At 34.7% G+C, this 12,578-nt stretch overlaps 1 long non-coding RNA gene across 2 annotated transcripts in view, besides 1 other annotated feature; it reads right to left on the minus strand.

The window, feature by feature from the left end:
- LINC02663 (long intergenic non-protein coding RNA 2663) overlaps positions 1-12,294 on the minus strand; it is a 434,814-nt gene extending 422,520 nt beyond the window's left edge. For both annotated transcript variants that reach the window (XR_930643.2, XR_930644.2), the window contains exon 1: positions 11,948-12,294. This is a non-coding gene — a long non-coding RNA (long intergenic non-protein coding RNA 2663). The remainder of the gene's footprint in view (positions 1-11,947) is intronic.
- Positions 11,316-11,478: a silencer, noted in NCBI's record as "fragment chr10:9919079-9919241 (GRCh37/hg19 assembly coordinates)". NCBI's record gives its function as "represses an EF-1alpha promoter that drives an FKBP-Casp9 reporter gene in an ReSE screen in both phorbol 12-myristate 13-acetate-treated (for megakaryocytic differentiation) and untreated K562 erythroleukemia cells {active_cell/tissue: K562 | K562(+PMA)}" and the evidence as "EXISTENCE:reporter gene assay evidence [ECO:0000049][PMID:32094911]".
- Positions 12,295-12,578: the final 284 nt, after the last annotated feature.

The following is a 12,578-nucleotide window of genomic DNA, read 5'->3' on the forward strand; positions in this document are numbered from 1 at the left end:
TACATCCATCAACTCCACCAACTGAGCATCAAAAATATTTGGAAAAAATAGGTAACTGTGTCTGCACATAAACATGTACAAACTTTTTCTTGTCATTACTGCTTAAACAATACAGTATAACAACTATTGACATAGCATTTACATTGTATTGAGTACTATTAGTAATCTAGAGATGATTTAACATATACAAGATGATAAGCACAGACTACACATAAATACTATGCCATTTAAAATAAGAGATTTAAGCACGTGTGGATTTTTATATCCAAGAGGTCAATGTAAAAGTGGACCCCCACAGCTCAAACCTGTGTTGCTCAAATGTCAACTGTATAAAGATTTCAGTCTATCAGGTATCTCTGCTTTCACATTAAAGCTATCCATATATTCATATATTGTTTTATTTTAAAATATCTGTTGTAAACCCATCATTTTTCAGCCCTAGGGCTAGGTTCCTAGAATGCAATGACCAATAAGACTCTTCTCATAGAGGTTGGAATTTATTGCATGAGATGACTATAAAAAAAAAAACAGATTTTTTTGTAATATGTGAGCTTTGTATCATAATAGAAAGGAATCTGGTTCTTTGAGATTACAGAAGACACTAACCTAGTCTAGGGATCAAGCAAGGCTTCTCCAATAAAATACCACCACCTGAGTTCTGAGGTATGAGCAACTGTTAAATAGGAAAAGAGAACTAACAGGGAGAACATTCTAGATAGAGGTAATGACAAGTATAAAGAGCCCAGGGAAGGAGGGAGCATAGTGAATTTGAGAAAGTTCTGAAAGGGTGCCATCATAGCTGGATGCAAGGAAGCACGGGAGGAAAGAGACAGATTAAGAAGACAAGGAGGAGCAAAGCCACACAGGACCTTGTAACTGAGATGAGAATTTTGTTCTATCCTCAGAGCAAAGAGAAGCCATTGCACAACATGAGTCACATTTGTGTTTCAAAAGGAACAGAAAACAGTAAGGAAACTTTTGTTGTAGTCTAGTGACAGCTGATTATAGCTTTGGATATAGTGGTGGCTGTGAAGACGGAAAAAAATTGAAGAGACGGTCCACCTATTCTATGTGCTTGGACATTTTTCTAAAAAAGTCAATTGACTGTCATGTGTGGCTCACTTCTGGGCTCTGTTTTCTATTCCACTGGTCAATTTTTATGCCACTGCTGCCATATTTAGTTGCTACAGCTTTGTAGTATATTTTGAAATCAGGGAATATGATGCCTCCAGCTTTGTTTTTTTTTTGCTCATGACTTCATTAGCTATTTGGGGTCTTTTGTAGTTCTATATAAATTTTAGGATTTTCTTTCTAGTTCTATTATATGACATTGGAATTTTGATAAGGATGCACTGAATCTGTAGGTCTCTTTGGGTACAATGGAATTTTTAACAATCTTAATTCTTTCAATCCATGAACATGAATTATCTTTCTACTTAGCTGTGTTTTTCAATTTCGGTGTCCAGGTATTTCACCTCCTTGGGTAAATTTATTCCTAAGTTGTATTTGTAGCTGTTGTAAATGGGATTAATATCTTTACTTCTTTTGTATAGTTTGATACTGTACAAAAACTACAAATGTGTGTGTTGATTCTGTAGCCTGCAACTTTACTGTATTTAATTATTAGTTCTAATAGTTTTTTGTGATCTCTTAGGGTTTTCTATAAATAAGAACATGCCATTAGCAAACTGACAGTTGCACTTCCTCCTCTCTTACATAAATGCCTTTTATTTATTTCTCTTGCCTAATTACTCTGGCAAGGACTTCTAATACTATATTGGATAAAAGTGGCAGGACTGGGCATCCTTGTCTTGTTTTAGATCTCAGAGGGAAGGCTTTCAATTTTTTGCCATTGAGCATAATGTTAGCTGTATTACACTAATAACTTTATCTACCTTCATCCATCTTGAAATGTAAAAAATCTATTTGTGCAAAGAACCATTTACGCCTGGGGTATATTAACATCCTGTAAATTAGTGTTCTGAAGGCTACACTTAAGAAACGATGGCCTAAGGGAATAAAGGGCTATAAATCAGATATGCCACCATGCAGATCATCTGAAAAATAACGTAAGATTTTTTAACGTGTCTAGCGTCACAAATTTTCTCACTAGATGATATGCAAATATTTCTCTAAATTACTCTTCAATTTTATTTCTGGCCTAATACTTCAGTTACAATTACAGAGACAATGCAAAACCACTCAAAATTTAGGGATATTGCTCGTCTGGTATAAGTCTCCACATGTTACACTTCTTGTCACCTTTCTTCCTTTTTTCCACATTCTGCTTTGGCCTTAATGATTCCTGCGTGAAACGAGAGAAGTGGAGGTAATTCCACTTGAAAATAAATATGCTGCCTTATCTTATCCTGGATACTTATGTAGTTTACAGGTATAATTATTCTTCTACACAAAAAGATCACTCCTCTCCTCCTCATAAATGAAGGCAATAGATTTTACTTGCAAGAGTCACAAGATCACCCTTCTCCTAACTTCCTAACATCCTGTCGACCAGCAAAAATTTTTTTGCCATTTCATTTCCTTGTACTAAAGCTAATCATAGTGGTTTGTCCTGTTTCATGTTTAAATTGTTATCTTCTAAAGTCATCAATTATTTTTTAACAAAACAACAAAAAGTCGGTATTCTCACCTTTTTATACACTGTAATCAATGCTGTTAGAGACACATGAAATTTGCAGAATTCCAAACACAATGTTGCCTTTTTATTGGCAAAATGCAATTACACAACTAATTGGCTGTTATATTGCAGTGTGATACATGCTTGGCCCACACATCTCCTCCTGCTGGCAATGCAGGAGTTGGTCTACTTCTGCACCCCCTTTCAATATGTTTAATTATTTAAGCCAAGAGAATGGTCACTCAGTGGATGTGCTTGGCAACTCTGAACCACAGATGCTGGGCTCTCACGTTTATCTTTTTTCCAACAAGAGCAATATGGAAACAAGTGCCTAATTTCTTGGCTACAAACACATCAAGCTTCTCACTAGGCCCAGTTGCTGTATTTTGTGGCAGCCACAAATTTACGTTTGTGCTAAATGGCTGATTATCACTTCTGATTATTTTTGATGATGGGCTTCTTGTGGATTGATTTTAATTGGAAAGATTTATTTTGTTGACTAATCCTAGTGCTTTATCCATTTTATACTCTAGTTTATTATTTATTGTATATGTGCCGCTTAATTTTTGCCATGCTTCAGAAGTAATGAATTAAATACAAAGTAGAGAAAATGTGTAACATAACAAAATGGGCATCTGTTATTAATTTACTTCAAAATTAATGTACTCCTCTAAACTTCCATACTTTTTGGTGTGAAGGGCAGACACTGTCTTTTACATGAGAGATCATCTAGGCTAGTTTTAAAAAGAAAGGATGCAGAAACACATTATTACCAAAAATACCTGATGGCCATAGCTGAACCTCATGTTAGAATAAACCAATTATAAAAATCCGAAATGTTAACCCAAGAAAAGAGTAACTAATCTGGAGCTTTTCACATGTGGGCTGTGATGGAGTCAGTGCACCAGCTACAGAAAGTGGTGCAGACACACGCACTAGAGGAGGAAGTGACATGGGGGAGTATCAGATCATATTTTTATGAGAGGCCACCCAAGCTTGAAGGGGCTTGCATACCATCCTGAGGAATTTGGACTTTATTCTGATTGCATAAGCAGTAAAAACCCCTGAAAGTTGTGGTAAAAAAAAGTTTTTAAGATAACTTTTTTGTTTTAAAAAATAACATTGACAGTATGGGGGACAGATGGGTTTTAAGGTGACATAAGCAGGAGACACTCCAGTGGTGAAATAATTTCAGTAGGACAAGATAGAGCTAATAAGGGCTTCAGTTAAGACAACGGTAGTGAAAGAGATGATAATTAGCTGCGTTTCCAAAAATATTTCAAGAGAAAAATATGGATTACTGAGGACAGCTCGCTGAATGCTTTTCATGACAGTCTTTTCCTCCCAACTCCATGCTAGAACAGCTTGAAGAACAGAAACTTAATGTTAGACCAAGAAATAAGTGAGAGCATTTCTAAGGCCTTAAATTCCTGAAAGGAGAGAACAGGAAAAACCTTCCAATTCTGGAAGCCTGTTAGAGAACAAGGGAGGCAGCTTGAGCTTGCTGGCACCCGTGGTCTCAGAGGAAGAGTGCCCTGCCAGTCTCCACAAGATAAGTCTGCCCTCCCCACCACGGCCCACCCCACACCCCCACTCCTTTAACCAGAGAGGCTTGGGACCTGGGAACCAAAACTGGAAGGGAGAGTTCAATTCTCACAACCTTTTTTCAGTTGAGTTACTAGAAAAAGATGGAAATAATATTAATTTTGGTGGCTTTGGCTTGATCCCAAAAGCCAACATTAGCTTTGCTCCGTAAATAATTCTTGAAGCACATGGAAAATAAAAACACAACTATAAATCATTCAACAATTAATGAAAAACCTAAACCACATCAAATTATATGCTATAGAAAGAAAGATGTATAAAAAAGAACTTTAAAGCCAGACATTATTTTATTTAAAAAGAAAGACTGATAAGGAATTATGTATGTAACATGAGAACAAAATTATTATGTAAAGATAAACAAAAGAAGAAACAGAAAATTAGGAAAGTGTTTTCAGATGAAATAGAAAAGAATAAAGATGTAGTCCAAAATAAGTAAAACAAATCCTAGCTTTTTAGCAAAAAAAAAAAAAAAAAAATCTCTTCACAAGCCTGATAGAGCAAAAAGAAAAATCCAAATAAACAGCTTTAGGAATATAGATATGTAAATCCAGAAAGTGTTCCAAGTATCAGAAAAGAATATTCCATGCAATTTGATGGCATTAAGTTTGAAAATCCAGAAGAAATGCTAAATTTTATTGAAAAATGTTATTTGCAAATTTGACCCAAAAATGTCAGAAAATCTAATAAGGCAGTGATGGTGGAAATTGGAAAATTTTCTTTAAATATCTAACAAAAATAGAGAGGTCCAGCATTAAGTTTTGCAGGTTATTTCTATTACAAGTTAAATAACATTAATCTATCTATGTCTTTTCAACTACTGGAAGATATCAAAATATAGTAGGTTCCAAACTCATTTTTAAAAATTTTCACGTCTCAATTCCAGCTATTTTAAATATATATATTTATAAGTGAAATTATAAATAAAATATTTCTCATAAGATTTTAACAAATCAAGTTTAATACGATATATCAATATACCATGACCGAGTAGAGTTTTCTAGAAATGAAAGATGTTTCTAAGTTATGATTTTAGTTGTAGTTTATTAAATTATTATATCAAAATATAAAGAATATGTTACACAAAATATAAAACTTAGCTACCATTCTCTTATGTTTTCCAAGTAAAATAAGAAGAGAATGGCTATTTCTCTATATGACAATGGCTTTTTTAAAATGTGTAAATCACCATATAAAATAGCACATACTTGACTATTTCTGTTCAAATTAGTAATGAGAAAGAGAAGACCTAGAAATCACAAGATATATAATTAAAAACTAACAAGCTTTCACCTTTTAGAATTCTAAGACATTTTGAAAAAGTATCTACATACATAATAAATATGTAAAAGTCTATACACTTTCTGTAGCAGCAAGAAGCACTTTGAAATGTAAATGGAAAAAAAGAACTTAGCTCCATAAGATCAAAACCAAAAATAAAAAAGAAATAAAAGAAAAGAAAGGTATAAGGTCTGATATGAAGATAATCACCACACTTTAATAAAGAATGAAAAAAGGCTGAGTAATTACAGAGGAACATCATCTTTCCGAAAAGAACAGATTTCATTAAAAATGCCAATCCTAAACAAATTAACAATTTCAGTCAGAAACTCAAATTGTGATTTAACTGAACAGAATGATTTTAAAGTTTACATGTTAGACTATAAGTGAGAATTTTACAGAATAATTTGAAAAAAATGAATGACGGTGTCAGATAATTCTATTTATTTTACAATACATTTTTGGTTTTGTGGCTAAACAAATATGACAGCATTCCAACTCATTTTTCAAAACTTTCATGTTCCTAAATTCTAGCCATATCAAATATATACAAAAAGTAATTTCATTAATATAAATATGAAACTTCTAAATAAAATTTGAACAAATCAAGTTTACTAAATACAACAACATATCATGACCAAATGGAGTTTTCTAGAAGTGGAGGATGTTTTGACATTAAGAAACAGGTAGTTACAAGCCATGAAACACAACTCTGGCAAACAGAAATGGAAAAATAATTCATTAATGATATCAGGTGGTACCTATCTCGGGGAAGGCAATAGAATGGGTTTGGAGGTATATATGCAAACAGGATCAGCTTCCAAACCATATGAACATGGGTTCTAAGAAGAAGCCACGGCTACAGTAACTGCAACAGACACACCACAGGCAAAACTGAAAGAGGAGGACAGGAATTTGTGAGTAGGCCTGCAGTGACCTGGACTGGCATAGCAAAAGGCTATATAATAGAAATAAAAATAATCCAGAAATATATAAACCCTGGAGAGGCACTGAAACCTTTGAATAATTTTAGTCCCAAAAATAGAATTAAGTTGATACAGGATAACCAACATCCCCCAATGCCTGCCAGAAGCATAAATATGCGTCTATATCTCCAGAGAAATACATCATTCTAGGACCAAAAATCTTTCTTCAGTTACACGCTCTATCTAGCACCCAATCAAAACTAAGAATGCATGTGAAAAAAAGACATTGTGACAGAAAGCAAGAAAAAACTCATGGGCACTAAAAACAGTTACCCGAAAAGATTATACTTTGAAAGAACTATATATAACATATATTCAAGAAAATAAGGCATAGGATTAACACTTCTAGCAGAGACCTAGAAAAGAAAAAAAATAACTGAAAGGGAATTTAAAGAACAAAATTACCAATATCAAGAGTTGAAGCGTAGATTTAGTAACACTTAGAAATAACTAAATTAGTTAATAAAAGATAAGTTAAAATATCTAAAAATAAAGCACAGAGAAACTTATGGAGGGAAAACAAAGAAGTATCAGAGATACAGCAACAGAGAATATCTAACGACTGATAATTTGAATTCCCAAAGAAAGAGGGAGAATGAGGAGAAACAATGTATTAAGAAATTATGTTGTTAACTTCTCCAAAACTGAAAAAAGGTATCAAGCCACAGATTCAGGAAGTGTATATATATAGCAAACAAAATTTTAAAAATTCTATATATGCATATTTAAATTTCTGAGAACTAGACAGAGTGACCATCTCAGAGCAGCCAGGAATATGAAGACACATCACCTTCAAAGAGTGACACAAACACTGATAACTAATCTCTCAAATGAAAAGATGGGAGTCAAAAGACAACAGAACAATAACCCTGAAATAAAATTACTGTCAAATAAGGAGTCCATACCATGAAAAAGATATCCAAAAGTAAATTAGGGTAAAATAAAGAAATATTTAGACAAACCAAAACTGTGAGAATTTTCCGCCAGTAAACCTTTACTGAAGAGGATTCTACAGAGAGAAAGAAATGATCCCAGATGGATGTTCACAGATATGAGAAAAAAATAAAGAGCAACAACAAAATGCATAGGTAGGTGAACTGAAATGAATATTGAGCATAGCAAGCAATAATAGTAATGAGGTTTTCAAATGTTAAATATACAAATTGAAATGTGAAATAAAAATAGTAATTTCTAAGAGTATGAAAGGTAGAGTTAAAGTGTTCTAATATTCTTGCATTACCTGGCAAAAGGTGAAAGAATGTTTATATTAAACTTTGACAAGTCAAAGATGAATAGTTGTTATTTTAGGGTAATCACTAAACAAATACTAAAATATGCGTACCAACCAAACATGAGGGAAAAATGAATATTAAAAGAAATACACAGTTGATTAACAGGGAGAAAAGAGAAGAGAAAACAGGTAGGACAAATACAAATAAAACAGTGCTATTGGAGATTCAAACCCAAATATATCAGGACTTACATAGCTCTCAATGAAGGACTGCAATAATGAAAAGGTAAAGATTCTTAGGCTGGATAAAAAAAAAAAATCAAAACCCATCATACATGTTTTAGAAGTAAAACAGCTATAATTAACAGCAGAGACCAAGTAAATCATGAAAAAAATGATAGATATTGGTATAAGTATATTAATACCAGACAAACTAGATTCAAGGTAGAAATCATTACTCCAGAGAAAGAGATATTTCATAAACATTAATGTTTTGTCAACAAGTTGTAAGTCTAGATATTCATATACCTAGCAATATGGCATAAAATATAAAGCAAAGATTAATACCTAGGAGACTCGGACTAATTCAATATGATAATGAGGGGTTTTAATACACTCCTCTCTGTACAGACAGGACAGACAAAATAAATCAGACATGATATAGAATCCTTAAGCAACAGCGAACAAGTTTGACCCACTGGAAAATGTAGAGCACTACATCCATCTTCTATAGAATACAAGTTCTATTCCAGTGTACATAAAACATTTTTAAAGTAATTGACTATATAGTAGATCACAAAGCTAAGGGCAGCAAATTTCAAATGATTAAAAATATTTAGAGTACGTCTTCTAGGTATAGTACAATTAAGACAGAATTTAACCACAAAAAGATCCCTTTAAAATGCACCCCCATATTTGGAAACAGAAAAACAAATATCAAATTTCTGAATTACCCATGGTTCAGGAAGAAATAAAAATCAAAAAATGTTTTCAAATGAATATAATTGATGTTAATAAAAAGCTTTTGTGTGCAACTAAAGCTTTGCTGTGAGGGAAATATACAACCTTAAATGTCTGTATTAAGAAAGAAAGAATGCTGTTATTATCTATCCAACACTCTTAAATTAGGAAGGTACAGATGAATGACAAATTTAAAATTAAATTGTGGAGGAAATAAAATACAAAAATCGAAAATGAATAAAATATAAAGCACACACAATAAAGATGAGCAAAGTTTAAAATGGTTTACAGAAATGCCTGATAACATTTATAATTCTCTAAGAAGTTGATTAGATGGTGAGAAATTACCAAAAAAAGGAAATTTAAAAAGGCGTCACTAGGATGAGACAGAAATTTAAACAATTATAAATGGATATGAAGAACACACGATACCAATAAACTTGAAAATTATTTCAAATCATAAAACTTCTAGAAAACACGACTTACTAAAACTGGCAAAAGTAATTAGGAAACCTAAACACTGTTGTATTAATATTAAATACATTAGCCCTCTAACTACAACATTTCATAAAAGAAAACTTCAGCGTTTTAGTGATGGTTCTCGAGAGACAGGACCACTAGGATAGACAGAAGGATGAGACAGGATTGTTAAGAAGTGGCTCACTGGCTTCTGTATGCCGAGAAATATCAGCATAAGCAGAGAAAACTCAGCATTGCCACTCTGCTAACTGGATATTCAAGGGAGCGGGTTCAGGCCAGGTCCAAGGCCTCAGGCAACCTCTAAGCCAACAGTATGGCTCTCATCTCCAGGCCTCAGGCCCTAGGGCCCAGGGCCGCGGTGCCCAGTCCCTAAGATCAAAGGCAGAAGGAACTGGAACTCTGGGGTTCAAGAGCTGGAGAAGTATAACCTGGCACCAGGAGAGTGGGAATTCACCCTCTTCTGCCTTGTCCTTCCATCTAGGCCACAGCTGATTGGATGGCACCTGCCCACATGGAAGGTGGATGTTCCCTAACTCTGTCAGCCAATTGGAAGGTGCCCGCCCATATTGAGGGCAGATTTTCCACTCACTCTGTGCACAGATTGGTTGGGGCTTGCCCACACTGACAGCAGATCTTCCCTAATTAAGTCCCGGGACTTAATGCCAATCTACTCTGGAAACAGGCTCTCAGACACACCTGGGGCAGCCCACGCATTCTAATCAAATATCAAACGACCTGGGTTTCTTTTTCGGTAAAAGAGAAACCCACCAATAATAGTACTTTACTAGCTATCTGAGTGTCTCCTAATTCACTCGAGTTTACACTCCAAGTCAACCATCACTATCAGTCTGTGGTATAAAAATATAAAGACAGATGAGAAAAGGAAGGTAAAATTTAATCCTAATATTGAATATGGATTTAAATATCCTTTAAAAATTACCAAATTAAAGCAGTAAGTATAACAACACATATAATCAACAGATTTATCAAAGAATGGGAAGTTTCATGTTCATTGTAATTGCAACATAATTCACCACATTTACAGGTTAAGGAGGAATCATAATTTTATTATCTCAACTGCTGAAAAGGCCTTTGATAACATTCAATATCAGTTATTGATTTAAAAAAACAACTAAAATTAAGACTAAATTTCTTCACTTGGATCTAGAAAAAAACCTAGAGGGGTTGTATAAGCAACCATTCTTTCCAACATTTAGTGATCACTGTAGCCACTGCAGTAAGTCAAGAAAGAGAAACCAAAGTTATGGAGGTTTGAAAGTATATTAAAATACTCATATCTGCAGATTGATATATTGTATCAAAAATAATCAGTAGGCCACTTATTAAAAATAATGCTAGTTTAGCAGTTTTGCTAAATACCAAGGTAGTACAAAAATCACTTGTATTTCATATTTCAGAAATATATAGGCTATGAAAAATTTTAAAGATATTTATCATTGCATCCAAAAAATCAAATATGTAAGATAAAATACAATGAAATATATAGAAGACTTAGACAACAATTTATATTACAATTTACACAACATTATTGAGGGTAATCAAAGAAGACCTAAATCAATAATAGTACATATCATATTTAAATATTGGAGAACTCAATAATGCAAGACATGCCCATTTTTCCCAAATCAATATACATTTTGAACGTGATTTCAATCAAAATCCAAGTGTGTATGTTGACATACGTGTGTAAATCTATGAAATAATCCTAAAAAAGATGGAAAAGCCAAAAATGTAGGGGGAAAGGCGTAAATATCAAAATTTGTTTTAAAGTTAAACTTATTAAAATCGTATATTTTAAAAAATATACAAATACACCTATAAAATAAAAGACCAGATCCAAGCATACATAAACCATTTAATTTTTGATCAAGAAGGTGCCACTGAACAAGTCTTTTAATAAATGAGGTTGGTCCGTTGAGGGGGAAAAATGGACCTTAATTCTTACATCACACCATATACAGAAATTAATTACAAGTGATTTCTAGATCTAAATCTGAGGCAAAATAACAAAACTTCTAGAATTAGAATACAGAAAATATCCAGTAGGAAAATAATTGCTAAATAAGGTACAAAATGCAATAGTCATAAAAATATTTAGAAATTGAACAACAAAAAGCCAGAATGTCCGTTTATCAAATGGTACCACTAAAAAAGTAAACAAAGGCCGGGCGCGGTGGCTCACGCCTGTTATCCCAGCATTATGGGAGGCCGAGGCGGGTGGATCACCTGAGGTCAGGAGTTCTAGACCAGCCTGGCCAATATGGCGAAACACCGTCTCTACTAAAAATACAAAAATTAGCCAGGCGTGGTGGCGGGTGCCTGTAGTTCCAGCTACTCGGGAGGCTGAGGTAGGAGAATGGCTTGAACCCGGGAGGTGGAAGTTGCAGTGAGCTGAAATCGCGCCACTGCTCTCCAGCCTGGGCGACAGAGTGAGACTTCGTCTCAATAATAATAATAATAATAATAATAATAATAAGCTGCAGAATGGAAGACGATAGAGTAAGTCCTCACTTATGTACTAGGTTCTTGGCAACTGCAACTTTAAGTGAAACTAGGTATAAAGAAACTATTTGCCCATAGGCTAGTTGATATCAACAAGAGTTAAGTTCCTACAGCATATTTCTGGTTGCAAAAACATCACCAAACTTCTAAATAAAGACCCGAAACACTTCTGGTATTAAACACTGGAACAAATATGAGCTATTCGTATATTAAAGAAAGATTTTAAAAATCAAGCAAGATATTTACCCATTTGTTCTAGTTTGGGATCGCGAGCAGCCCGAGCCGGTCCTGGCAGCTCAAGGTGCCAGGTGGCACCCAGTCCTGAACAGGACACCGTTCCATCACAGGGAGCACTCACCCACACACCTGTTACAGGTAGTTAGGCAATGAGCGGGGCAGGAGAGGGCTCTCTCCCACCCGCTAGGAATGTCAGGTGACATCGTTCAGCAATTATCGCATTGCCTCTCTAAAAATGATAATTGGGCAGCCAGGGAGAGAAAATCTCCTCAAGGTCCACACCTGCTAACATTACAAACGTTCATTGAATGCAGGCGCCAGAGAGAGGCAACTTCCTCAGCCCGCCTGTTAAGAGACAAAAAAAAAAAAAAAAAAAAAAAAAAAATGGCGAAGTATCAGCTTCCGGGGACACATTCCATCGGAATAGGGGAGAAAAGCCTCAGATGGGCGTCTGGGTAAGTGCCCTAAAAACAATGCGCATGCTCAGTTCCCAAGGGTGAGGTGGGCACAGCGCATGCGGAAAGCCCATCTTAAAGGGAGAGTCTTGGGAAAGAGGCGAGCCTATAAAGTCTCAGGAGCAAGGTTGAAGGCCCCATCTTTCTCTCTTTTCTCTCCACCTTCAAGCGCCCACTTGGATCCC

Source organism: Homo sapiens, chromosome 10, assembly GCF_000001405.40.
Source record: "Homo sapiens chromosome 10, GRCh38.p14 Primary Assembly".
Lineage (NCBI taxonomy): Eukaryota > Metazoa > Chordata > Mammalia > Primates > Hominidae > Homo > Homo sapiens.